Raw genomic sequence first — 27,556 nt, 5'->3', positions numbered from 1 at the left:
CCATCTCTACAAAAAATACAAAAATCAGCTAGGCCTGGTGGTGGACGCCTGTAGTCCCAGCTACTTGGGAGGCTGAAGCAGGAGGATTACTTGAGCCCAGCAGGTCGAGGCTGCAGCAAGCCATGATTGCACCACTGCACTCTAGCCTGGGCGACAGAGTAAGACCCTGTCTAAAGAAAAAAAAGGAAGAGAGAAGCTAAACCTGCCTCCCTGAATTTTGTCTTGAGTAACTCAGATCATGCATCATACTTTGGAGTGTGGAGAATCTGAGGCCAGGTAAGGAAGGAAGTGCTCTCAGATACCCTGACTCTCCTGTACTGATAAACCCTGCTCAGGAGAAGCAGGTGGGATCAGGGAACCGCTTACCATCTCCTGGCTGAAAGTGGGTGTTTGCACCCCTTTCCAGAAGGGGACATCTGCTAACAATAGGAAACCCCCCCGAACCTGTCCTGCTTAGACCCCTTGTTGCACATGAGTCTGTGAACCCCGAAAATTTGAGACGGGTCCAGTTAATTTAGAAAGTTTATTTTGCCAAGGTTGAGGACACAGGCCGTGACACAGCCTCAGGAGGTCCTGATGACATGGTCAGCGTGGTTGGGGCACAGCTTAGTTTTATACGTTTTAGGGAGACTTGAGACATGAGTCACTATATGTAAGAAGTACTTTGGTTCCATTTGGAAAGGCGGGAAAACTTGAAGCAAAGGCAGGAAGACTCGAAGTGGGGAGGGGGCTTCCAGGTCACAGATGGGTGAGAGATGAACAGATGCATTCTTTGGAGTTTCTGATTAGCCTTTCCCAACTGAGGTGATCAGACATGCATCTATCTCAGTGAGCAGAGGGGTGGCTTTGAATAGAATGGGAGGCAGGTTTGCCCTAAGCTGTTCCCAGCTTGACTTTTATTTATTTTCGTTTCACAAGTCTATAAAAGATTAGGGGGGTCAGCTGCCCTTCAGCACCCAAATCAGGTGAGCAGACGGGTCAGCATCACAATATCAACACCGGGTTCCATCCTCTGCCCCTTGGGGCAGTGCCCAGTCCAGTGCCTCAGGGTCCTGGCAACCGCTGTGTCCTCCTCCCTCATCTCTTGAACCAGCACAGCCAGCCCAGGCTGACCCTGCTCAGACAGTGGAAGGAGCCCAGGTCCAGGCCCAGGGAAAGCCTGGACAGTGGCCCCATGTCTCTGAGCCCAGTGTCTTCTGTCTCCAGAGCCCGGGTTTTGAACCTCCATGGGTTTTGGCAGCTCATCCCCCGAGCTCTGAGAGGAGGGCGTCATCATCAGGATTAGATGATGATCTCCCAGCACAGGAGACTGGGAATGGCTCAGGTGCTACCAGGACGTGCAGCTGATGGTGGCTGGAGCCCGTTCTCTGTCCACCACACCCACACCCTGCCCCTTGCCCCAAAATGGAACCGTGGCTTAGATTTAATCAGACATTGGTGGTGGTGGTGGTGTTTTTTTGTTTTAGTTTTTGAGACAGTCTTGCTCTGTCGCCCAGGCTGGAGTGCAGTGATGCGATCTCGGCTCACTGCAACCTCCACCTCCTGGTTCAAATGATTCTTCTGCCTCAGCCTCCCGAGTAGCTGGGACTACAGGCGCCCGCCACCACACCCGGCTAATTTTTGTATTTTTAGTAGAGACTGGGTTTCACCATATTGGCCAGGCTGGTCTCAAACTCCTGACCTTGTGATCTGCCTGCCTTGGCCTCCCAAAGTGCTGGGATTACAGGCATGAGCCACCACGCCTGGCCTATTATGCCATATTTTTACTAAAACTCTGTCTTTAACCTATCCATTGCGTTATAATTGCCTACAGCTTTCACTACAGGAACATGCCGTGCAGGTGTATAGTCTAGGAGCAATGGGCTATACCGTATAGCCTCGGCGTGTGGTAGGCTGTACCATTTATGACTGTGTAAGCACATTCAAGGATGCTCACACGACAGAATCACCTAACCGTGCATTTCTCAGGACATATCCCCACACATGTGGAGATGTGAGGCATGGAAAGCAAGTTCTGCATGAAAGATGCAGTAATGCGCCTCAGCAGATGAGACGTGCAGAGCCCAGAGCAGCGCGGTTAACGCCGTGGCCGGCCGTTCAGGGAACTGGCTCATCTTGCACGTGGTGCGTGTGGTTCCTCCCTAATGCACGTTCCATGGATGGAGGAGGAAGGAAGTTGGATGTGACCACCGCAAACACCATATTAGGATGTGGGTGGAACGCAGACTGCAGCTGCAAGGAATTTTGTAAGTAAATCCTGCAAAAAGAAGACACAGCTGGCTGGGCACGGTGGCTCACACATGTAACCCCACCACTTTGGGAGGCCGAGGCTGGCGGATCACCTGAAGTCGGGAGTTCAAGACCAGCCTGGCCGACATGGTGAAACCCTGTCTCTACCAAAAATACAAAAATGAGCCAGGCGTGGTGGCGGGCGCCTATAATCCCAGCTACTCAGGAGGCTGAGACATGAGAATCGCTTGAACCTGGGAGACAGAGGTTGCAGTGAGCCGAGATCGCGCCACTGCACTCCAGCCTGGGTGACAAAGTGAGACTGTGTCTCAAAAAAAAAAAAAAAAAGTGAACCTGAAGGAGGGTCCAGACGTGGTTTGGCAGGAGGGAAGGGTGTTTCAGGAGAAGAAACTACACGTGCAAAGTGTCAAGAGCCGCAGAGTCCTTGGCCCGGAGGGTTTGGGGAGATGTTGGGTGACAGGGAAAGGAGGGATCAGGAGAGTCCAGCAGGGGACAGACCATGCAAAGCCTGCAGAGGAAACACGGCCGCTCAGACTGTGGAGGAACTGGATGAGGAGGCATCTGGAAGCAGTCTGGAGTCTGTTGGGAGAGATGGAGGCAAGAGGTGAGGTGGGTTCAGCGACCAGGGAAGAGGTGAGGCCCAGGCATGACCGGGGCCAGGATGGAGAAAAGGGCTCCAAGGTGACCTGTACTTAGGAGGAGGGACAAGTGCTAGTGATTTTTGGGATCTGGAGGAGGGAGGGAGGTCAAGGTGGACACCCACACCCGGGTTCTGACGTTAGAGATGGGGCTACCATGTCATCAGAGGGATGGGGCTCTCAACAAGAGAAGTGGGCTTGGAAAGGGAGGTGATGAGTCAGTTATGGCCAAGTTGAGTGGAGCAGTCCTTGGGGCCATCGAGGGGGAGGTGTCCAGCGGGATGTTGGAGGGTAAGAGGCCCACGACACTCACCTGGAGATTAGTCCGTGACAGCGTCTGCAGCCTCCATGCCCAATGCTGCCCTTGCTGCCTTCCTCCTGCAAGACCTCACTCTGGGTGAAGAGACCAGGGCCTGTGAGTGTGGCTGGATGGGGGTGAAGAGGGCAGCAGACTCACCTCCCTGTGCCCTGCTAAGGGGTTGGAGGGGACTGAGGCAGAGAGAGCAGGCCTAGCCCCCAGGACCTCCCTGATACAAGCAGGAACCTCCCCAGCCTGGACATTGGTCCAGAGTTGGGGACTGACAACACTGGCCCGTGTGGAATCATCACGATCAACTCAGCCTCTGCCTGGCCACAGGCCTCTTTAACTGTCCAAGTACCCCCAGGATTGAGATTCTGGGATTCAGCGGTGTATCCTTTGCCCTCTCCGCCCCTCCCCTTGGTCCCTGGGGCAGGGCTCACCTGAGGAGGATGAGGCAGAGGCAGAGAAGCAGGATCTTCATAGCCACCTCCCCAACAGCCACCAGAACCACCCCCGTCATGGGCCCTGATTTGCCTGGAAAAGTGGGATAAGGCCCATTCACCTTCTAAACCACACTTCCGAATCCTTCCTCTCTTATTGCAACTTGGTTCTCCAGGCCCTTCCTACATCCCTGGATGCAGGACCTGGTGAGCCCAGGCCTCCCCACCCTATACCCTGACTGTCCGCCAGGAATCAGAGAGCTCTGGGCCCCATGGACGTTCTGGGCCTCAAAGGTGAGCCTGAGGTTGGAGCCAAGCCCCCCCTTGGAGGATCAGGGAGCTGTTGGCCCAGGGCCCGGCTGAGCTGGGGGTGACCTTGAAGTAGTCCTGGCTGCTGTTTCCCTCCGCAGCTCCCCACCAATCCACCAGGGCAGAGACGGGGCCGGGCTGCCTTGGGAGGAGCAGCTGCAGTGCAGACCCTCAGCCTCCCAGGAGCAGGAGGGTCCCAGCAGCTGGGGGGGCTCTGTGGGAGGGAGGACAGGACTCAGCAGGGGCCCCTTCCTGGGACCCAGGTGTCCCCTTTCCCCACTCACAGTGCACGGAGAAGCTGAGAGAGACGCGCTGGGAGCCCAGCGGGTGCCGAGCGTGGCAGGTGAACTCTCCTTCGTGCTCCATTTGAACCCGAGGCAGCTCCAGGACCCCAGGGTCTGAGGGCTGGGAGGGGCCCACGGTCTGTCCCCACCGGGTCCAGCTCAGCCTGGCTGGGGGGCTGCTGTGTGTGACACAGACCAGACGCAGGCTTTGGCCCTCCAGGACCCGGAGGGATGTGCCGTTCCTCAGGTTTTCCAGGACTAGGGAAGGAAGAGGCAGAATCGACGTGCAGCTCAGGGCTCAGGGACCCGCCTGCATGGGGACCCTCCAGACACCTGGGCCCCCAATTTGGCACTGAGAGGCCCTGGCTCCTCTGTCTCCTTTCCTACCTGTCCTGTTTGCTTGGGAAACCATCACTCTCAGGTTCTCTGGAGGATCTGAAATGGAGACAGGGGACCGGCTCTAGACGGACCAGGGACTTCCCTCTGGGCAAAGGGAAGCGTCCTGGAGACTGAGGTGGGGGAAGTGGGTGGGATAGAAGGGCAGGGCAGAATCACCCACTGAGTCCCAGACACAAACTGCATGAGGGTCTACACAGGTAAGAAGGTCAGTCCCCGAGGCCTGGGGTTCAAGACCCCCTCAGCTCTGGGACACTGAGCCCAGCCCCTGTATCCCTCTGCCCTCCCAATGGACTCCAGGCCCCTGCTAGGCACACTCACACTGCACAGAGAGGTCCAGGGCTCGCTGCTGGGAGCCAAGCCTGTTCTCCGCTCGGCAGGTGTAGCGCCCTGAATCCCCGGCCCTTACCCCACGCAGCTCCAGCCCCAGGGTTCTGGGGCCCCAGGGGTGGGACGAGGAGAGGACTCTGTCCTGCAGGACCCAGCTCAGCGTGGCAGGGGGCTGGCTGTCAGCAGCACAGAGGAGCCGCAGGAACTGGCCTTTCTGAACTTCCAGATATATGACGTTTCCCTGGAGTTCCAGGGCTGAAGACAGGGAAAGAGAGAGGGTGGGGGTGGAGAGAGAGAATGGGTGGGAGGGGGGGCTGCAAAGAGGACCACATCCCCTCACCCCCCTGAAGCCTTTTCATCCCTAAAGAGGACTGGCCCAGCCCCAGCCCGAAGGCCCTCAGTACCTGACGTGTTGTCATGTGAAATGCTGATAATAAGGTCTTTGGGGGCATCTGCAACAAGATTGTGAGCTGGCTTCAGGGAGGGACAATTTGTTCCTCACACCTGGAAAAAACTCCCTCAGGGAAAAGAAAGTGGGAACATCCCAGGATGGACAAGTGACAACCAGCTCCAGGGCTCACACATGTGGACAGAGGATCAGACGCCATTCCCATCCCCCTCCCAGGGCTGAGCCGGCATCCTGGGACCCCACAGCTTCCTCTCCCTGGATGCTCCTGAGCTGGGAGCCACTCACTGTCCTGCTGGGCTCCTCCACCTCCCCACCCACCGGGGCTGTCTGCACGCCCCACCCTCCCAGGCCACACTCACAGGCCACACGGAGTCGGACGGTCCTCTGTGCGCTCACACCCTTTCTGGAGAAGTCCACATGGCAGGTGAGGTCGGTGTCGTGGTCCTGGGGGCTGGGCGTGAAGCTGAGCACTGAGAAGTGGGAGGTGCTTGGTCTGGTTCTTCTAGGGGAGAGGGCAGCCCCCGTCCAGGAGAAAGAAGGGGCTGGACATTTCTTGAAAGCCCAGTTAAACACACAGATGACCGTCACCGGCTGCCCGGGCTCCAGGGTCTCGGGGATGTAGACATCAGGCTTCTGAGTCAGGGCTGGGGCAGAGACCGGGGTGGGGAATTCTTGTGCTGCAGGGGTCCCTGAAAGCCCTCTCTGCTCAGCCCATAGCCTGTCCCCAGGGTCCCTCCCCAGTGTGACAGGCAGGGGTTCCCACCCCATTCCATACCTGTTACTTTTAGAACAAATTGTTCACGAAACTATGTCTCACACGGCTTCCTCTCTCCACCCGAAAGAAGTACCATGCCTCATCCTCCCTCTGCGCGTCTCTGATCACCAAGGAGCAGCTCCCTTTGCCGGGATCCCCAGTGAGCTGGAATCGGTCCCGGGTGCTCATTTCCACCTCTCGACTCTGGTTGTTAGTGGCCACAGGAGCACCCGTCTTTGGGCTGGTCCATCCTTTGAACCAGTAGCCATAAGCAGCAGTAGACTCGTCCCAGCCATCCCGGGGGTAGGAGAGGTTGCAAGACACGATGACACACAGGCCCTCCGGCACCGGCACCTGCCTCTGCACTTGAAGACTGTAACTGGGATCCTTGTTCAGGGACCCTGGGGAGATGCAGAGGCTCAGCGGCAGCCCCAGCCCCTGCCTGGGACCCCCAGCCACCGACCCACTCACCCGCCCCCAGCACGGGCAGCAGCAGGGGCAGCAGCAGCATCTCTGGGCTCTGGGGCTGGGCCTGTCCCGGGACCATCTGGCTTCTGGGCCGGCCTGGCTGGGAAGGAAACTCCTCCAGCAGGAAGCCTGGTGGAGGGGCAGTGACCATCCACAGAGGAGGAGCCTCGGGAACCGCAATGTCCTGAAAGCTCGCCTCCCAACTTCTCCTTTCACAGGGGAAGCAGCAGGGCAGAGGGCATGAGGACCAGCCCCAAACCAGGAAGGAGCCACCCTGGCCAGCCTCGGAGGTGGGCAGTGCTAGGAGGGGACTGTCAGGGGACACAGGTGAGTCATGGCTGCAGGTGAAGTGATGGATGCAGAGTCCCATTCATTCATTCATTCATTCTCCAGGCAAAATCTACTCCATGCAGTGGGGGGAGGCAAAGAAGACATGACCATCCAATCCCTGCCCACAGGATCCTCACCTCCACTTATGTCAACTCAGGGTCCCCGGGCTCCCCAAAGGCACTGAGCTCCCCTGCCTGTTGCGGGGCCGTCTCTGCAGCTTACACCAGGCTCCCAGCTCCACAGGGAGAAGGGGGCAATTACATAAGACCCCAGTGAGCTCAGGGGGCCTCATGCTTGGGGTTTAGTGCTCTGAGGTTGCCCCCTGGACATTCTTAATAATTTATCTTTTGATCTGTGTTTTGTAAATGAGGTCTAATTGGTTCATGGAGCCCCCACTGGGGAACTTGGACCTTACATCACAGGGTCCCAGCTCTGTCACCTCCCCACCCTGATGCCCAGACTAGTTTGTGGCTCAGCCCAGCCCCAATTACCACCTGGGCATAGAGGGGGGTCTGGGTTGTGCAGACTCAAGGGCAGGGGCCCCAGCACCTCCCGATTCCCCAAGGCTGAGGATTTGGACATTAACTAGCAAATTTAAAACTCCATGAACAAAATGTGGTTTATTCATTTAATGGAGTATTATTCACCCCTAAAAAAGAATTACATTGTGACACCTGCCACAGCATAGATGGTCCTGACAACATTATACTAAGTGAAAGAAACCAGACAATATTGCATGATTCTGTTCATCTGATATGACCAGAAGAGGCAAATGTAGTGACAGGAAGTAGATTTGTCATTTTGGGGGCCTGGGGGGAGGGAAGAATGGGAAGTGACTGTTTAATGGGTACTTGGTTTCTTTTTTCAATGATGGAAAAGTTCTGCAACTAGATGGAGCTGATGGTTGCACAAGAATGTGAATGTACTTAGTGCCAATGAAATGTACACTTTTTTTTTTTTTTGAGTCTCACTTTGTCACCCAGGCTGAGTGCAGTGGCGCAATCTCGGCTCACTGCAACCTCTGCCTCCCAGTTTCAAGCAGTTCTCGTGCCTCAGCCTCCCGAGTAGCAGGGATTACAGGCATGCACCACCATGCCCAGCTAATTGTGCACTTTAAAATGATGAAAGTAGGCCAGATGCAGTGGCTCATGCCTGTAATCCCAGCACTTTGGGAGGCTGAGGCGGGTGGATCACCTGAGGTCAGGAGTTCGAGACCAGCCTAGCCAACATGGCGAAACCCCGTCTCTACTAAAAATACAAAAATTAGCAGGGCATGGTGGCGCTCACTTGTAGTCCCAGCCACTCAGGAGACTGAGACATGAGAATTGCTTAAATCCGGGAGGCAGAGGTTGCAGTGAGCCGAGATCCGTCACTGCACTCCAGCCTGAGCAAGAGAGTGAGACTCCATCTCAAAAAAAATAAATAAATAAAAAATAAAGTGGTTAAAGTAGTAGGTTTGTGTTATGGGTATTTTACTACAATTTATATTATTTTTAATTAGCAAATAATAATAATTATATATGTTTATGGATACAATTTGATGTTTTGCTAAATGGATTTACAAAAACATAACCCAACTTTATGCTACATATAAGAAAGTCACTCACTTGGAAAGACATATACACTGAAAACAAAGAGATTGAAAAAAATATTCCATGCAAACAGAAACCAAAAAAGACAAGCAGGAGTAGTTATACTTACTCCAGATAAAACAGACTTAAAAGGCCAGGTGCGGTGGCTCACGTCTATAATCCCAGCACTTTGGGAGGCCGAGGCGGGTGGATCACGAGGTCAGGAGATCAAGACCATCCTGGCTAACACGGTGAGATCCCATCTCTACTAAAAATACAAAAAATTAGCTGGGCGTGGTGGCAGGCACCTGTAGTCCCAGCTACTCAGGAGGCTGAGGCAGGAGGATGGCGTGAACCTGGGAGGCAGAACTTGCAGTGAGCCGAGATCGCGCCACTGCACTCCAGCCTGGGCAACAGAGCAAGACTCCGTCTCAAAAAAAAAAAAAAAAAGAGACTTAAAAAAAAAAAAACAGACTTTAAGTCATTGCGTAATGATAAAAGGGTCAATTCAGCAAGAAGATATAACTTTACGTAACTAAATTTATATGCACCTCACACTGGAGCACACATAAGGGGAGAGACAGACTCCAATACAATAGTAGTTGGAGACTTGAACACCACATTGAACACTCTCAGCATTAGACAGATCATCTGGACAGAAAATTAGCAAAGAAACTTTGGATTTAAACTGCATTTTAGACCCAAGGGACCTAAGAGATGTTTGCAGAACATCTTATCCCACAGCTGAAGAACGCAGTCTTCTCTTTGGCACATGAAACATTCTCCAGGATACACCATATGTGAGGCTATGAAAGAAATCTAACATATTTATAGAAATTGAAATCATATTAAACATCTTCTCAGACCACAATGGAAGTGAAACTAGAAATGATTAATAAGAGGAACTTTGGAAGATGTACAAATATATGGAAATTAAACAGCATGCTCCTGAATGACCACTGGGTCAAGGAAGAAATTAAAAAGAACATCAAGACGCTTCTTGCGGCCGGGAGCGGTGGCTCATGCCTGTAATCCCAGCACTTTGGGAGGCCAAGGTGGATCACCTGAGGTCAGGCATTGGAGACTAGCCTGACCAACATGGTGAAACCCTGTCTCTACTAAAAATACAAAAAAAAAAAAAAATTTGCCGGGCATGGTGGCATGTACCTGTAATCCCAGCTACTCAGGAGGCTGAGGCAGGAGAATCACTTTAACCTGGGAGGCGGAGGTTGCAGTGAGCTGAGATGGTGCCATTGCAATCTAGCCTGGATGACAAGAGTGAGACTCTGTCTTAAAAAAAAAAAAATTATTGAAATGAAGATGGAAATACAGCCTACCAAAACCTATGAGATACTGCAAAAGCTGTGCCAGGAGTGAAGTTTATAACAACAAATGCCTCTTTCAAAAAAAAAGATAGAAGAATTCAAATACACAACATAACAGTGGACCCCTGGCCGGGCGCAGTGGCTCACGCCTGTAATCCTGGCACTTTGGGAGGCCAAGGTGGGTGGATCACCTGAGGTCAGGGGTTCAAGACCAGCCTGGACAACATGGTGAAACCCCATCTCTACTAAACATACAAAAATTAGCTGGGTATGGTGGCACACCTGTAATCCCAGCTACTCAGGAGGCTGAAGCAGGAGAATCGCTTGAACCCAGGAGGTGGAGGTTGCAGTTAGCTGAAACTGTGCCACTGCACTCCAGCCTGGGCAACAGAGTGAAACTGCATCTCAGAAAAAAAAAAAAAAAAATGGACCCCAAGGAACCAGAAAAGCAAGAATAAACCAAAATTAGTACAAGGAAGGAAATGGCCAGGCATGGTGGCTTGCGGCTGTCATCTCAGCATTTTGAGAGGCCGAGGTTGGAGAATCGCTTGAGACCAGGAGTTAGAGACTAGCCTGGGCAACATAGGGAAACCCCAACTCTACAAAAATTAACAATGACCAGGCACGGTGTCATGTGCCTGTGGTCCCAGGTACCTGGGAGACTGAGGCAAGAGGAGCACTTGAGCCAGGGAGGTCAAGGCTGCAGCGATCTGTGATCACACCACTGTACTCCACCCTGGGTGATAGACTGAAATCCTGTCAAAAACAAAAAAGCAAAAGCAAACCTCAGCGCATGTTGCTAAGAGCTCCCCCAGCCACCTCTGTCAAGGCGGGGGCCTTGGCTCACCATTGGGTACTGCATTTACCCAGTGCTTTAGCCACAACTCTTTTCTTTTCTTTTGTTTTTTTTTTTTTTTTTTGAGACAGAGTCTCGCTCTGTCTCCCAGGCTGGAGTGCAGTGGCGTGATCTTGGCTCACTCCAAGTTCCGCCTCCCGGGTTCATGCCATTCTCCTGCCTCAGCCTCCCAAGTAGCTGGAACTACAGGCGCCCGCCACCACGCCTGGCTAGTTTTTTGTATTTTTAGTAGAGACAGGGTTTCACCGTGTTGGCCAGGATGGTCTTGACCTCCTGACTTCACGATCCACCCGCCTTGGCCTCCCAAAGTGCTGGAATTACAGGCGTGAGCCACCACACCCGGCCTCTTTTTTTTCTTTGTCTTTTTTTTGTTTTTTTTTTGAGACGGAGTCTTGCTCTGTCACTCAGGCTGGAGTGCAGTGGCACGATCTCGGCTCACTGCAAGCTCCGCCTCCTGGGTTCACGCCATTCTCCTGCCTCAGCCTCCCGAGTAGCTGGGATTACAGGTGCCCGCCGCCACGCCTGGCTAATTTTTTTGTATTTTTAGTAGAGACAGGGTTTCACTGTGTTAGCCAGGATGGTCTCGATCTCCTGACCTCGTGATCCACCCGCCTCAGCCTCCCAAAGTGCTGGGATTACAGGCGTGAGCCACCGCACCGGCCAGCCACAACTGTTTTCTACCCAGAGACACGTCCCCACTAACCTGAAGCCTTAATGATTCAACCCAGTGAATAAAATACTGGGGAAAAAAATAAATTAATTTAAAAGTGCACACCACAGTGGAACAAGGTAAGCTTCAAAAGACCTCTGCCATTCCAACCCCACAGGAGATGATGAACTTGATCACCATCTTACTGAGCACATTGCCACTGCAGCCAGCAACTGAGAAGCCAGCGCACAAGGACTCTCTACAACCAAGGAACTCATACAGAACCTTCATCCCTGAAAGCACCAAGACCTGAATTAAGCGCCAATAAACTATAAACATTAAAATCAGGCTGGATGTGGTGGCTCATGCCTGTAATCCCAGCACTTTGGGAGGTTGAGGTGGGCAGATTACTTGAGGTCAGGAGTCCGAGACCAGCCTGGCCAACATGGTAAAACCTCGTCTCTACTAAAAATACAAAAATTAGCCAGGCCTGGTGGCACACATCTGTCATCCCAGCTACCTGGGAGGCAGAGGTTGCAGTGAGCCAAGATCGTGCCACTGCACTCCAGCCTGGATGAAAGAGCGAGATGCAAGACTCTGTCTCAAAAAAAAAAAACATCAAAAATCAATCCTTGGCCAGGCGCAGTGGCTCATGCCTGTAATCCCAGCACCTTGGGAGGCCAGGGTAGGTGGATCACTTGAGGTAAGGAGTTCGAGACCAGCCTGGCCAACATGGTGAAAATCCATCTCTATTAAAAATACAAAAATTAGGCCAGGCGCAGTGGGTCACGACTGTAATCCCAACACTTTGGGAGGCCGGGGCGGGAGGATCACGAGGTCAGGAGTTCAAGACCAGCCTGACCAGCATGGTGAAACGTCATCTCTACTAAAAATACAAAAAACAAGCCAGGCATGGTGGCGGGCACCTGTAGTCCCAGCTACTCGGGAGGCTGAGGCAGGAGAATTGCTTGAACCTGGCAGGTGGAGGTTGCAGTGAGCCGAGGTCATGCTACTGCACTCCAGCCTGGGCGACAGAGTGAGACTCTGTCTCAAAAAAAAAAAAAAAAATTCAACTCAATATGGATCAAAGACTTAAATCTAAGTCCTGAAACCAAAAAATTCTAGAAGATAACCTAGGAAAAACTCTTCAGGACATTGGTCTAGGCAGCGGTATGTATACCATTGTCATGGAATATTACTCAGCCATAAAAAAAGAATGAAATAATATCTTTTGCAGCAACTCGGACAGAGCTGGAGGCCATATTTCTAAGTGAAATAACTCAGGAATGAAAAATCAAATGCCATTATGTTCTCACTTTTAAGTGGGAGCTAAGCTATGGATACATAAAGGCATACAGAGATCATGGACTATGATCTCATGGAGGCAGAGAGTAGAATAATAGTTATCGGAACCCTAGAAGGATGCATGGGTGAGTAGGTGGGGAATGAAGAGGTCTGTCTAACAAATATACGGTTATATAGAAGGAATAGTTCTTATGTTTAATAGCAGAGTAGGGTGACTATAGTTAACAGTAACATATTGTAGTGGTGGCTCATGCCTGTAATCCCAACAATTTGGGAGGCTGAGACAGGCAGATCGCTTGAGCCTAGGAGTTTGAGACCAGCCTGATCAACATGGTAAAACTCCATCTCTATCAAAAACAAAGTATAAAAATTAAGTGGTAGTGCACACCTGTAGTCCCAGCTGCTCGGGAGGCTGAAGTGGGAGGATTGCTTGAGCTTGGGGAGGTCAAAGCTGCAGTGAGCCGTGATCTCACCACTGCACTCCAGCCTGGGTGACAGACAGACCCTGTCTTTTTTTTCTTTTTTTTCTTTTTTTTTGAGATGGAGTCTCTCTCTGTTGCCCAGGCTGGAGTGCAGTGGTGCAATCTCAGCTCACTGCAAGCTCCACCTCCCGGGTTCACGCCATTCTCCCACCTCAGCCTCCTGAGTAGCTGGGACTGTAGGCACGTGCCACCATGCCCAGCTAATTTTTTGTATTTTTAATAGAGATGGGGTTTCACCGTGTTAGCCAGGATGGTCTTGATCTCCTGACCTTGTGATCCACCCGCCTTGGCCTCCCAAAGTGCTGGGATTACAGGCGTGAGCCACAGTGCCCAGCCTGAGTGACCCTGTCTTAAAAAATAATAATAACGTATTGTATTTTTCAAAATAACTAGAAAAGATGATTTGAAATGTTCCCAACAATAGAAATAATAAATGTTTGAGGTGACAGATATTCAAATACCCTGACTTGATTATACCATATTCTATGCATGGCACAAAATATCACATATACCCCATAAATATGTACAAATATCACATATTAATAAAAATACTTTTTAAAAATCAACAAGGCAGGGCTGGGCGCAGTGGCTCACGCCTGTAATCCCAGGATGTTGGGACTCCGAGGCAGGTGGATCACCTGAGGTCAGAAGTTCAAGATCAGCCTAGTCAACATGGTGAAACCCCATCTCTACTAAATATACAAAAAATTAGCTGGGCATGGTGGTGGGCACCAGTAATCCCAGCTACTCAGGGGGCTGAGGCAGGAGAATCGCTTGAACCTGAGAGGTGGAGGTTTTAGTGAGCCGAGATCATGCCATTGTGCTCCAGCCTGGGCAACAAGAGCAAAACTTCATCTAAAAAAAAAAAAATCAACAAGCCAGACACAGTGGCTCACGCCTACAATGCCAGCATTTTGGGAGGCTGAGGCAGGCAGATCACCTGAGGTCAGGAGTTCGAGACTAGGCTGCTCAACATGATGAAACCCCATCTCTACTAAAAATACAAAAAATTATCCGGGCATGGTGGTGGGTGGGTGCCTGTAGTCCCAGCTACTCGGGAGGCTGAGGCAGCAGAATCACTTGACCTTGGGAGGCGGAGGTTGCAGTGAGCCAAGATTGCACCACTGCCCTCCAGCCTGGGTGACAGAGTGAGACTGTCTCAAAAATAAAAATAAAATGGCCAGGCGCAGTGGCTTATGCCTGTAATCCCAGCACTTTGGGAGGCCAAGGTGGGCGGATCACAAGGTCAGGAGATCGAGACCATCCTGGCTAACACGCTAAAACCCTGTCTCTACTAAAAATACAAGAAAAAAATTAGCCGGGCGTTGGGGTGGACGCCTGTAGTCCCAGCTACTCAGGAGGCTGAGGCAGGAGAATGGTGTGAACCCGGGAGGTGGAGCTTGCAGTGAGCTGAGATCCCACCACTGCACTGTAGCCTGGGGAACAGAGCGAGACTCCATCTCAAAAAAATAATAATAATAAAATAAAAATAAATAAATAAAAATCAACAAAGGAGAAAGGTTCATAGGACAGGATCCAGAAGAGACCATATGTGGGATTCCAGTTGTCCTTTCCCAGTGAAGTCATACAGAAAGCGCTTAATGCTTGAAGCAAAGATGAGTGACAACATACAGCAAGTATTGCCACCCAGGGAAGCTCACCTGAGCCTCGGCATTCAGAGTTTTTACTGGGGGTTGGTCACGTAGATGCAGCTGACTGCCTGTGTGGCTGACCTAGTTTTTACCCTCTGTGGAGATACAGCAATAATACGTGGTGCAAAGCCCCCACCATAAATCACTGTGTTCTTGTAGACTCTTCCAGTGTCTCATGGCCCCCTGGAGAATGAATGAATGAATGAGACTCTGCATCCATCACCTCACCTGCAGCCGTGACTCACCTGTGTCCCCTGACAGTCCCCTCCTAGCACTGCCCACCTCCGAGGCTGGCCAGGGTGGCTCCTTCCTGGTTTGGGGCTGGTCCTCATGCCCTCTGCCCTGCTGCTTCCCCTGTGAAAGGAGAAGTTGGGAAGCGAGCTTTCAGGACATAGCGGTTCCCGAGGCTCCTCCTCTGTGGATGGTCACTGCCCCTCCACCAGGCTTCCTGCTGGAGGAGTTTCCTTCCCAGCCAGGCCGGCCCAGAAGCCAGATGGTCCCGGGACAGGCCCAGCCCCAGAGCCCAGAGATGCTGCTGCTGCCCCTGCTGCTGCCCGTGCTGGGGGCGGGTGAGTGGGTCGGTGGCTGGGGGTCCCAGGCAGGGGCTGGGGCTGCCGCTGAGCCTCTGCATCTCCCCAGGGTCCCTGAACAAGGATCCCAGTTACAGTCTTCAAGTGCAGAGGCAGGTGCCGGTGCCGGAGGGCCTGTGTGTCATCGTGTCTTGCAACCTCTCCTACCCCCGGGATGGCTGGGACGAGTCTACTGCTGCTTATGGCTACTGGTTCAAAGGACGGACCAGCCCAAAGACGGGTGCTCCTGTGGCCACTAACAACCAGAGTCGAGAGGTGGAAATGAGCACCCGGGACCGATTCCAGCTCACTGGGGATCCCGGCAAAGGGAGCTGCTCCTTGGTGATCAGAGACGCGCAGAGGGAGGATGAGGCATGGTACTTCTTTCGGGTGGAGAGAGGAAGCCGTGTGAGACATAGTTTCCTGAGCAATGCGTTCTTTCTAAAAGTAACAGGTATGGAATGGGGTGGGAACCCCTGCCTGTCACACTGGGGAGGGACCCTGGGGACAGGCTATGGGCTGAGCAGAGAGGGCTCTCAGGGACCCCTGCAGCACAAGAATCTCCCACCCGGTCTCTGTCCCAGCCCTGACTAAGAAGCCTGATGTCTACATCCCCGAGACCCTGGAGCCCGGGCAGCCGGTGACGGTCATCTGTGTGTTTAACTGGGCTTTCAAGAAATGTCCAGCCCCTTCTTTCTCCTGGACGGGGGCTGCCCTCTCCCCTAGAAGAACCAGACCAAGCACCTCCCACTTCTCAGTGCTCAGCTTCACGCCCAGCCCCCAGGACCACGACACCGACCTCACCTGCCATGTGGACTTCTCCAGAAAGGGTGTGAGCGCACAGAGGACCGTCCGACTCCGTGTGGCCTGTGAGTGTGGCCTGGGAGGGTGGGGCGTGCAGACAGCCCCGGTGGGTGGGGAGGTGGAGGAGCCCAGCGGGACAGTGAGTGGCTCCCAGCTCAGGAGCATCCAGGGAGAGGAAGCTGTGGGGTCCCAGGATGCCGGCTCAGCCCTGGGAGGGGGATGGGAATGGCGTCTGATCCTCTGTCCACATGTGTGAGCCCTGGAGCTGGTTGTCACTTGTCCATCCTGGGATGTTCCCACTTTCTTTTCCCTGAGGGAGTTTTTTCCAGGTGTGAGGAACAAATTGTCCCTCCCTGAAGCCAGCTCACAATCTTGTTGCAGATGCCCCCAAAGACCTTATTATCAGCATTTCACATGACAACACGTCAGGTACTGAGGGCCTTCGGGCTGGGGCTGGGCCAGTCCTCTTTAGGGATGAAAAGGCTTCAGGGGGGTGAGGGGATGTGGTCCTCTTTGCAGCCCCCCCTCCCACCCATTCTCTCTCTCCACCCCCACCCTCTCTCTTTCCCTGTCTTCAGCCCTGGAACTCCAGGGAAACGTCATATATCTGGAAGTTCAGAAAGGCCAGTTCCTGCGGCTCCTCTGTGCTGCTGACAGCCAGCCCCCTGCCACGCTGAGCTGGGTCCTGCAGGACAGAGTCCTCTCCTCGTCCCACCCCTGGGGCCCCAGAACCCTGGGGCTGGAGCTGCGTGGGGTAAGGGCCGGGGATTCAGGGCGCTACACCTGCCGAGCGGAGAACAGGCTTGGCTCCCAGCAGCAAGCCCTGGACCTCTCTGTGCAGTGTGAGTGTGCCTAGCAGGGGCCTGGAGTCCATTGGGAGGGCAGAGGGATACAGGGGCTGGGCTCAGGGTCCCAGAGCTGAGGGGGTCTTGAACCCCAGGCCTCGGGGACTGACCTTCTTACCTGTGTAGACCCTCATGCAGTTTGTGTCTGGGACTCAGTGGGTGATTCTGCCCTGCCCTTCTATCCCACCCACTTCCCCCACCTCAGTGTCCAGGATAGTTCCCTTTACCCAGAGGGAAGCCCCTGGTCTGTCTAGAGCCGGTCCCCTGTCTCCATTTCAGATCCTCCAGAGAACCTGAGAGTGATGGTTTCCCAAGCAAACAGGACAGGTAGGAAAGGAGACAGAGGAGCCAGGGCCTCTCAGTGCCAAACTGGGGGCCCAGGAGTCTGGAGGGTCCCCACACAGGAGGGTCCCTGAGCCCTGAGCTGCACGTCGATTCTGCCTCTTCCTTCCCTAGTCCTGGAAAACCTCGGGAACGGCACATCCCTCCCGGTCCTGGAGGGCCAAAGCCTGCGCCTGGTCTGTGTCACCCACAGCAGCCCCCCAGCCAGGCTGAGCTGGACCCGGTGGGGACAGACCGTGGGCCCCTCCCAGCCCTCAGACCCCGGGGTCCTGGAGCTGCCACCCATTCAAATGGAGCACGAAGGAGAGTTCACCTGCCACGCTCAGCACCCTCTGGGCTCCCAGCACGTCTCTCTCAGCCTCTCCGTGCACTGTGAGTGGGGGAAAGGGGACACCTGGGTCCCAGGAAGGGGCCCCTGCTGAGTCCTGTCCTCCCTCCCCACAGACCCTCCACAGCTGCTGGGCCCCTCCTGCTCCTGGGAGGCTGAGGGTCTGCACTGCAGCTGCTCCTCCCAGGCCAGCCCGGCCCCCTCTCTGCGCTGGTGGCTTGGGGAGGAGCTGCTGGAGGGGAACAGCAGTCAGGGCTCCTTCGAGGTCACCCCCAGCTCAGCCGGGCCCTGGGCCAACAGCTCCCTGAGCCTCCATGGAGGGCTCAGCTCCGGCCTCAGGCTCCGCTGTAAGGCCTGGAACGTCCACGGGGCCCAGAGTGGCTCTGTCTTCCAGCTGCTACCAGGTGAGGGGACTGTGGGGGGCTGAGGTTCAGGGAGAAAGGAGACAGGATCCTAGAAAGATGAAGGTTCAAGGTTGTGGGGAGAGGGTGTGGGCGTGGTGGGAAGGGATGGGGACAAAGTCCCTGCTCTGTGGCTGGTAGTTGTTGCGGGAAACTGAGGAACGGAGAGAGCAATATGGAGAACAGGAGGATTGTTTATTTAAGGTAAGTTCCAGCTTAGTGGATTTACATTTCAAAAGCTGAGCATTAAATAAAGACAAAGAAGGGGTTTTTTTTGTTTTTTGGTTTTTTTTTTGAGATGGAGTCTCGCTCTGTCAGCAAGGCTGGAGTGCAGTGGCTCGATCTCGGCTCACTGCAACCTCTGCCTCCCGGATTCAAGCAATTCTCCTGCCTCAGCCACCTGAGTAGCTGGGATTACAGGCATGCGCCACCACGCCCAGCTAATTTTTTTGTATTTTTAGTTTCACTATGTTGGCCAGGCTGGTCTCGAACTCCTGACCTTGTGATTCACGCACCTGGACCTCCCAAAGTGCTGGGATTACAGGCGTGTGCCACCGCGCCCGGCTAAAGCAGTGTGTTTATAAGCGGACTTACAAAAGTAAAACAAAAGCGGTTAATTATATAGTGCATAACTTGTGGCCTTGTAGCTGTGTCAAAAGAAAAACAAGAACTGGTTAAATACAGACATTTGTGAAACATAATTGTGCTTAAGAAGCCAGGGAAAGGAGTAACAGTAAAAGAATTTGTCTTTTTTTTTTTTTCTTTAACCTTGCTCTGGAAGGGGTGTGTCTGGAGCCCATTCCTTTGGCCTTGGCTTTTTAAACAGTGTTATTTTATACCTGTCCTTGAAGTGAGCTTGCTAGGCATAGAAAGACTTGGGTTTTTTTTGTTTTTTTTTTAACCCTTGCCTTGCCTGTTACTTTTTTGGGAGTGAATGAATGCATATTTATTTTTAAATTTTTGCCTCAGTTTCCCCCTTTTGATGTTTTTTATAAAAGAAGTTTAATAGAAGGCATTACTATTACTTAATTCTGCATGAAGAGACACTTTTTTTCTTTAGACAAAGGTTGATATTTATGCAGAGCCGTTAGCTGAGTGGTAGTTTGCCTAGCTGCTATTGCCTTTATAGTTGATTGAATGCTTCCAACAAGGAGAGCTAAGAGACAAGGGAGTATTCGGCAACTTCCTAGTATGGCCAGAACCACTTTTATTAAAGTCTTGAACCCTCTGCAAAATGAAAACCAGTCCTTAAAGAGAGAATCTGGAGACCACCCTTTCCAAGTTTGAACTGGAACATGGGCTAATTTTTTTATTTTTGCAGTTATTTTTATAATTGCCTTTTCATTGTCAGCGATTTTTAGGCAGCAGTTAGTTAGATTGAACTTTTTACATTTTTTTTTTTCTGGGCTAGGAGTAGTCCAAAGCTAACCTGTTCTGATAGATAACATTCTTCATTTTTGTGGGTTGCTGGGCCAGTAAATCTAATGCATTTGCTGTTTTATTAGTGATGATTTCAAGTACTGCCTGCAACCTTATGATGCGGTTAAGCATGTAAATAGGAGTGTGGTATCCCCATGACCCATTTTGTGCCCAGGTAGCTGGCCTATACTATTGAATTATTTTTTCAGGGGGTTAATTTGTGTCTTTTCAATTTTTTTAATTTTTATTTTTGTGTGTGTGTTTGCATTTTTTTTAACTTTATTATAGACAGGATACCTTAAAGTTTCTCCCTGTTGCAGTGGGAATAGGAAGAAAGACGGTCTAATTGTTTCAAGCACACAGGCCCCTGTCCATTTAGCTGGCAACTGTTGATATGCCCATGGCCTACAGATCCAACAAAGACTAGGAGGTGCTTGCCAAGTATTTGGAGCTTTCGGCTGATAGTAGGTGTGATTTAAAGAAGAGAAACAGGGAACGGATTTGGATGAGGTCATTTGCATTCATCTTTGCCCCGCCACAAAGTGTTTCTTAGTGTTTTATCGTCATATTGCTGTCCTAAGCAGTTTAGTTCTTTTACTGGGTTTGTAAAAACTTTTCCCCAGCGAGCAACACAGTATTTCCTGATAATAGAAGTTTTTAAGAGCCAGACGCTTGAACTTGTGGGCGTCGGTTCGGGAGAAGAGTCAGTTAAATTATTTTGTGGCATTAACTTTTTTGCTTTCCAAGGCCATTGGTCTTCCGTGTTAGTCCCTCCGCAAACATAGTATGAGGAAATGCCTAGGCTGCCGACAATGTTTTTAGGCAGCCGAGCAAACAGGTTTTCTGCTAAAGGAGTGGGCTCTGGTAACAGGATTACAGGTGTGAGCCACTGCGCCCGGCCATAAGTACAAGTTCTTTTTTTTTTTTTTTTTGAGACGGAGTCTCGCTCTGTTGCCCTGGCTGGAGTGCAGTGGCGCCATCTCTGCTCACTGCAAGCTCCAACTCCCAGGTTCACGCCATTCTCCTGCCTCAGCCTCCCGAGTAGCTGGGACTACAGGCGCCCGCCACCAAGCCCGGCTAATTTTTTTGTATTTTTACTAGAGACAGGGTTTCACAGTGTTAGCCAGGATGGTCTCAATCTCCTGACCCTGTGATCTGTCCACCTCGGCCTCCCAAAGTGCTGGGATTACAGGTGTGAGCCGCCATGCCCGGCCTGCTAATTTTTCTTTTTATGAGGGCTGCTGCCAACAGATTGGCCTTTTTTTTTAAGCCTATGTTCTGCTTCCTTTTTCCTTCCTGAGTTATCCTGCTCCTACAGCTGGCCAGTGGGACTGGGCTACGGCGTGGGCCCCGCCCCTGTGCACGCACGCACTGCCATCTATCTTTACTGTTTCTTTCTGATTTTTCTTTTTTCCTTTTTCACACTTACTTTTTTGGGCTAGGTAGGATCTGCACAGCCGTAGTCCACCCCTGGGCCGTTATAGGCCCAGAGGCTTGGTAGATGCCTGCCGCAAGTTGTAAGAATTATGCCTTTCTTTTTTTTTTTTTTTTTGGCTTTTTTTCTGGGGCCAGTCCCCGCCCCGCTCTTTTTCCAGATAGAGCCAGGCTGAGGAGAGGGACTAAACCCTTGGTGTGCCTAGCTGCTTGGTGCCTCGCTTGTTGCTTTCGCTCTTTCCCGTTTTGTTCTCTGGTCATGGTTCATGTACATCTTGGTGGTCACTTTTATAAGCTGGGTGGCATTCATGCCTGCAGCTGCCGCTTGACGTCACCCTGGGCTTGCCCTACAAATGCTGTGTTTACCATGCGCTGATTTTCAGCAGCCTCAGGGTCAAATAGGGTGTAAGGCCGGAATGCTTCACAAAGTTTTTTATAAAACTGACTTGGGCTCTCGTCAGCTCTCTGAAGCACTTTTGAAATTTTTCGTATATTAATTGCTTTCTTTCCACCAGCTTTTATCCCTTGCAGAAGTGTCTCTTGGTACCTTTGCAAATGCTGAAGCTGAGTTGCATCCTCTGGGTTCCAGTTGGGATCTTGGTATGAGAACTGACCTTGAGTGTATGCCTGAGCATTCACTGCATCTGCTGGTGCATGGGGTTTTAGCCAGGGGAGAGCTGCCTATGTTACTCTCCTGCGCTTTTTAGTGTTAAATAACGTTAGGAAAAGCTGCCTGCAATCTGGCCAGGTTGGACTGTGTGTCAGAAAGACGGATTGCGTCAGATCTATAAGAGCTTGAGGCTTCTCCATGTAGGAGGGAGTATGGTGTTTCCAGTTCAGTAGATCAGTAGCTCAGTAGTCAGAAAGGGCTGATAGATGAAGGTGCGTTGCCCCCCACCTCCGAACCTGGCCTTGGTTATTACAATAAGTGGGTCCTCACATCTCCCTGACAGGCATTTGCATAGCTCGAGCAGGCATTTGCATAGCTCAAGCACGGCCAGATCTGAGACAGCCTGCTTGACTATTTTGACTTCCTTCCCTGGCCTTTTGAGGCTCCAGTCCTTCCCTTCGGGGTCAGACTCAGGGCATGCTAGCTCCTGAATTTGGTTCCTGGAGGGCTGTTGGCCTCAGTAAAGGGGGGTAGGCTGGGACATATGGAGGAGGAATTTCTGTTTCCTCTGGCAGCTGTTGCAAAACTGGCTTCTCTTGCTCTTTCTGGGGTTTTTCTTTTAACTTCGTGTCAGTCGGTGAAGCTGCTCTTACTTTTATTTTTGGCTCGGGCTACAAGTGTTTTGCAATAAGCTGCTAAACAGGGCTTGATCCAGGTTAGTCTTGTCTGTGCTGTATTTAACCATGAATCAATATAAGGAAATTGATCGGGATACTCAGGCTGTCCTCAGACCCCTATCACCATCTTTAATACATGCCCAATTGTTTCCTAGTCTACAGTTTCTTCGGTCAGCCATCCAACATCAAAAGAAAGTCATTCTAATTCAAAGAGAGTTCTCAACCTTTGGGGGGTTAGCTTAACTTTATAATCCCCTGCAAAACCTTTCTTAAAGTTTTGTAACATGCACTTCAATGGAGTAAGTTTTGATGGACTTTCCTTCTATTCCTTCCTTTACGGCCCAGCACACTCACTCTTCCTCTAGTTTCGGCCAACTATACCATCTCCTATTACGGGAGTTTTCAGAAGCTACTTGGCTTTGGAGAGTTCCTTATTCCTGCTACAACTCTGAGCTGTAGGGCAGCTCCTATTAGCCATACGCAGATCACCACTAGTCTTAGTTGGCCCCACACTTTGCTCGGAGCACCCAGTCCACACTAAGAGAATTGTGACTTCCCATTTTGTGGCTGATCAGCCTAATAAGGCTTCTTCATTTACACACTGTTACACACTTCCCCACTCCCAGTTCCTAAGTTCCTAATTAGGGTGGTAAGCCACTCTCGCCACCTCCAGTTTCCTTTTCCTAATCGACTTAGCAAACCATTCTCACATCCTGTGATGGTTGGGGTGTGAGTTTCATCCAAATCGACGAGCCACTCTCGCTGCCCCCAACCCCTCTGGGTCGGACTGTTAGGCACCCCGCAAGAAGTGATCAGCCTCCCCTTCCATCCCTATGGGATGGGTCCTGCCTTGGTCCCCAAAAGGTTACTGTGGTTCCTGACGTACACTGTTTCTGAAATCATTCTGTAGCTCCTTTCAGGTTTTGTTGTGCTGCTGGGTAGGGGCGCCGGCTCAGGGGAGAGCTGATTTCTCCTCCAGGCTGAAGTTCACCCAGTGGCACCTGGGGTCACAGGTCTCCTGAGGCCCGGGGCTCCAGCCCCCAGAGGCAAAGGAGGCAGTAAACCTACCGTCTCTGGTCCCTTCGTGGTCGCCAAAAATGCTGCGGGAAACTGAGGACTGGTGAGACCGATACGGAGAACAGGAGGATTGTTTATTTTAGGTGCAAACCGGCTCAGTGGACTCGCATCTAAAAAGCTGAGCATGAAACAAAGACAGAGCGAGGTTTTTATGAGCAGACTTACAAAAGTAAAACAGAGGCAGTTAATTTTAGGATAGGTGACATAATTTATAGTATAGCATAACTTGTGGCCTTGCATAGCTGGTGGCCTTGTAGCTGTATCAAAAGGAAAAAAAAAGAACTGGCTAAATACAGACATTTGTAAAACATAGTTATGCTTAAGAAGCCAGGGAAAGGAGTAACAGTAAAGGAATTTGTTTTTCTTTCTTGTTTTCCTTCAACCTTGCTCTGGAAGGGGGTGTGTCTGGAGCCTATTCCTTTGGCCTTGGCTTTTTAAACAGTATTATCTTATAACTGTCCTTGAAGTGAGCCTTGCTAAGCAGAGGAAAAGTTGTTCTTTTTTTAACCCTTTCCTTGCCTGTTACTTTTCTTGGAGTGAATGAATGCATATTTATTTTTAAATTTCTGCCTCAGTTGGGGATGAAGAATCCGAGAGCTCTAGGTCTGTGGGAGGAAGGGGCAGGAGGGTCTCAGGGCCAGGAGGGCACCACCCCAAACCCTGCTCCCATGCAGGGAAGCTGGAGCATGGGGGAGGACTTGGCCTGGGGGCTGCCCTGGGAGCTGGCGTCGCTGCCCTGCTCGCTTTCTGTTCCTGCCTTGTCGTCTTCAGGTAAGCATCGGAGGGCAGGCAATGCAGGGTGTGGGAAGGGTGAGGGTTCTAGAATCCCAGACAGTCCCAGCTGCAGGAATCTAGATGGGGCAGTGGGTGTGAGAACTAGGCCTTGGGCAAGAGGATCAGAGCAGGGGTCTGCTCCAGAGCCCTGATCTGGGCCATCTATGAGGGTCCCCAGTTCTCACTATGGAAGTCACCCCGTGGATATGTCCCCACCCCACTGGGCTCTGCAGCCTTCCAGCCTCTGCTAAGCCATGTGGGTAGCAGTTTCCCCAGGCTCTGGACCAGCCTGGAGGCTGAAGGGCACTGCCTCCTCCCTCAGGGTGAAGATCTGCAGGAAGGAAGCTCGCAAGAGGGCAGCAGCTGAGCAGGACGTGCCCTCCACCCTGGGACCCATCTCCCAGGTGAGAGCCCAGCCTCTGTCTGCTGGGGCCCTGCCTGTTCCCCTTTCCTTGATGGCCATGGGTAGTCCTCTTGGTGACTTGCAGAATCATTGTGCCCCAAATAGGGTTTTGCTCCTGGGTCCCCATCAATGCAGTCCCAAGTCCCATGATCTGGGAGGCACCCTCCCCACTGCTCCCTACATCCCCTCCCAGAACCAAGGGCCCCCCAGGCCTGTCCATACTCTGCCTGTGCTCAGATCCAGTGGACCCTCCACCTCCCACTCCTCATTTCCTCCTGCATCCCCGACTCCTTTGCCCTCCCTCCTATCTCTCCTCCTCAACACAGGATGCCAGAGAGTCCTTTCCTCAGATGACTATTGTCTACTACAAAGCTAAGGGTCCCCATCCTCACTTCTGACACCAACCACAGTTGTGGGGTCCCCACGACCACTCTGAGGTTGGATAACCCCCTAGGACTCGCAGGACTCACTGAGAGCTGTGATCCTCGTGGTGATGGTTTATAGTGACCGATACAGATGAAAATCATGGACAGGAAGAGGTGCTCAGGGCAGGTCCAGGAGATACCAAACCCACAGCTTCCGGTGGCCTTTCCCAGGGGAGCCATGGGGACAGCACCCAATTCTCCCAGCAAGGAAGTGTGACAGATGCACGGAGCATCAGGGCACCGCTCACCTGGGAAGCTCCACCAAACCTGGGTCCAGGGTTCACTGGGGGTGGGTCACGCAGGCATGGGGGACTTGCCACTGACTTCAGTTCCTCAGCCCCTGCAGAGCCAAACTGATGCTACGTAGGCCCCGCCGTAAGTCCCAGTGCTGGCGTAAACTATGTGGCCTGGCTTGTGGTCCCAGGTCAACAGGGATGCTCCTACCAGCAGGATATTCCAAGGCCCTACATTAGAGGTTCCTTCCCAGCACCTGGGCACAAACGGTTGAAGCTTTCTCTGGGCAAGGGGAATCCTTTACTTCCAGTAACCTTTCTTTCTTGAGCTCCTAGCTCAGTTTCACAATTGTGTCCGAGTAGATCTTCCAAGGTCTTTGAGGTCAGTCCAGGTCCGAGCAAATCCCTGTCTTTCTCACACCTCCTCCTTCCTGGGCATCCACTTATAATTTGCAATTAGATAGTAACTTCATTGACTATAGCTTTAATGTGTCTACTTCTTCTTCCATACTGCAAGCTGCCTGAGATCAGGGGTGGTGTCTCCCTAGTTCCCCCGGGAATATCCAGGGGCTGGCACAGGGGAGCTGTTCCATAAGGCAGCGGGCACTGGAGTCAGAGAAACCTGGACGTGAATCCTGGCCTGACCGCTACTTAGATGTGCGGGTTTGGGGTATTTACTCAGCCTTCATTTCTCCATCTGATCATGGAGACAATAGTGTCTCCCCAGTGGATTGTGGTGAGGATTTTATGAGTCTGGATTGTGGTGAGGATTTTATGAGTCTGGCAGTGAATTACCAAGAGCTAGATGTTATTGTTCTCAAATATTTGCTGAATGAGTGAATGAATGAATGAGTGAATGAATGAGGGCCCAGCTGACCTTTGTGGAATGAGTAGGTGAAACAGGAAATACTCAATTTCCAGATCCTCTTGTGCATCCTCCTTGCTCTCGCTTAGCCCCCATGACCCTAATTTGACCCCCTTTCTCCCCTGCATTCAGGGTCACCAGCATGAATGCTCGGCAGGCAGCTCCCAAGACCACCCGCCCCCAGGTGCAGCCACCTACACCCCGGGGAAGGGGGAAGAGCAGGAGCTCCACTATGCCTCCCTCAGCTTCCAGGGCCTGAGGCTCTGGGAGCCTGCGGACCAGGAGGCCCCCAGCACCACCGAGTACTCGGAGATCAAGATCCACACAGGACAGCCCCTGAGGGGCCCAGGCTTTGGGCTTCAATTGGAGAGGGAGATGTCAGGGATGGTTCCAAAGTGAAGAGGTCTCCATGGCAACAGGACACCAGCAAGTGTGTGGGAGTCGCACTGGTGTGACGGCCAGAACTGGACTCAGATTTCAGCCCCATCCCCAATGAAGAGCTTGAGTTTGAAGATTATACTTTTTTTGAGACAGGGTCTGACTCTGTCCTCCAGGCCAGAGTCCAGTGGTGCAATCTCAGCTCACTGTAGCCTCAACCTGCCAGGTTGAAGTGAGCCTCCCATTTCAGCCTCCCAAGTAGCTGGGACTACAATTGTGAGCCACCATGCCAGGCTCATTGTTATATTTTTAGTAGAGACAGGGTTTTGCCATGTTTCCCTGGCTGGTCTCAGACTCCTGGGCTCAAGCAATCTGCCCGCCTCTGCCTCCCAAAGTGCTGGGATTACAGACGTGAGCCACCACAGCTGGCTGAAGATTATACTTTCAATTCAGAGCGAGTTTGAAGATGACACTTTGAGGCATCGTGTCTATGGTTCATTACTACAGAAGCTTCTCTGGATGTGTAAAGCACAGGAAACCAGGCAGAGGAGGCACAGGGTGCTCTCCAGAACGAGAAGCCAGCTCCTGGAGTTGTTTGCTGCAACTGCCATTCCCCGTTGATGACCATGCTCTTCCTTCAGAAGAGGGAGAGTGAGAGGACCAAGTCCAAGTGGTTCCCATTTGAACATTTAAAAAAAAAAAAAAGGCTGGGCATGGTGGCTCACGCCTGTAATCTCAACACTTTGGGAGGCTGAAGTGGGTGGATCACAAGTCAGGAGTTCAAGACCAGCCTGGGCAAGATGGTGAAACCCCATCTCTACTAAAAATACAAAAATTAGCCGGGCATGGTGGCGGGCGCCTAAAATCCCAGCTACTCGGGAGACTAGGCAGAGAATTGGTTGAACCCGGGAGGTGGAGGTTGCAGTGAGCCGAGATCGTCCCACTGCACTCCAGCCTGGGCAACAGAGTGAGACTCTGTTTCTAAATAAATAAATGAATAAATAAAGCCTGAGTTTGAGTAAGTCATCTTACTCCTCAGTAAAATAGACACAATAAGCCTAAATCACAGGGCTGTAGTGGGACAGAAAGGAAATCATTAAAATAAAGCATCCAGGCTGGGTGCAGTGGCTCACACCTGTAATCCCAGCACTTTGGGAGGCCAAGGCAGGCAGATCACATGAGGTCAGGAGTTCAAGACCAGCCTGGCCAACATGGTGAAACCC

The 27,556-nt window shown here is 51.9% G+C and overlaps 2 protein-coding genes, 1 long non-coding RNA gene and 1 other non-coding gene across 9 annotated transcripts, besides 1 other annotated feature; 3 read left to right on the top strand and 1 right to left on the bottom strand.

Moving 5' to 3' along the window:
• Nucleotides 1–509: 509 nt before the first annotated feature.
• SIGLEC16 (sialic acid binding Ig like lectin 16 (gene/pseudogene)) lies at nt 510–6,660 on the bottom strand. 2 transcript variants are annotated; one of them, NM_001348364.2, is given in 10 exon segments: nt 510–2,829; nt 3,202–3,281; nt 3,630–3,723; nt 4,223–4,480; nt 4,610–4,657; nt 4,940–5,203; nt 5,717–6,001; nt 6,133–6,143; nt 6,146–6,512; nt 6,583–6,660. In NM_001348364.2, coding segments are annotated over 9 exon segments (1,440 nt in total). In that variant the 5' UTR covers nt 6,623–6,660; the 3' UTR covers nt 510–2,829; nt 3,202–3,208.
• Nucleotides 4,163–4,663: an enhancer, noted in NCBI's record as "H3K4me1 hESC enhancer chr19:50474918-50475418 (GRCh37/hg19 assembly coordinates)". NCBI's record gives its function as "activates a minimal SCP1, AML or CMV promoter by ChIP-STARR-seq in naive H9 embryonic stem cells {active_cell/tissue: H9 hESC(naive)}" and the evidence as "EXISTENCE:reporter gene assay evidence [ECO:0000049][PMID:30033119]".
• An 87-nt stretch (nt 6,661–6,747) lies between the features above and the next one.
• LOC124904745 (uncharacterized) lies at nt 6,748–11,654 on the top strand. The gene is made up of 2 exons (XR_007067297.1): nt 6,748–6,906; nt 11,489–11,654. It is a non-coding gene; the product is annotated as an uncharacterized LOC124904745 (long non-coding RNA).
• Nucleotides 15,152–27,339, top strand: SIGLEC11 (sialic acid binding Ig like lectin 11). 5 transcript variants are annotated; one of them, NM_052884.3, is made up of 11 exons: nt 15,152–15,318; nt 15,389–15,772; nt 15,903–16,187; nt 16,504–16,551; nt 16,701–16,964; nt 17,247–17,294; nt 17,424–17,681; nt 17,754–18,041; nt 23,930–24,026; nt 24,352–24,433; nt 26,088–27,339. In NM_052884.3, the coding sequence occupies exons 1-11, from the start codon at nt 15,243–15,245 to the stop codon at nt 26,352–26,354; spliced, it is 2,097 nt and encodes a 698-aa protein (NP_443116.2). In that variant the 5' UTR covers nt 15,152–15,242; the 3' UTR covers nt 26,355–27,339. The 5 variants fall into 5 exon arrangements, with proteins under 5 accessions (NP_443116.2, XP_005258533.3, NP_001128635.1 ...); XM_005258476.4 differs by lacking the exon at nt 16,504–16,551; NM_001135163.1 differs by lacking the exon at nt 17,754–18,041 and having other exon boundaries at nt 26,088–27,331.
• LOC124904802 (small nucleolar RNA U3) lies at nt 26,797–27,008 on the top strand. Its single transcript, XR_007067383.1, has one exon. It is a non-coding gene; the product is annotated as a small nucleolar RNA U3 (small nucleolar RNA).

Source organism: Homo sapiens, chromosome 19 (assembly GCF_000001405.40).
Source record: "Homo sapiens chromosome 19, GRCh38.p14 Primary Assembly".
NCBI classification, from domain to species: Eukaryota; Metazoa; Chordata; class Mammalia; order Primates; family Hominidae; genus Homo; species Homo sapiens.
The sequence above is the reverse complement of the archived record's forward strand: the minus strand, read 5'-3'. Positions and strand labels throughout refer to the sequence as shown.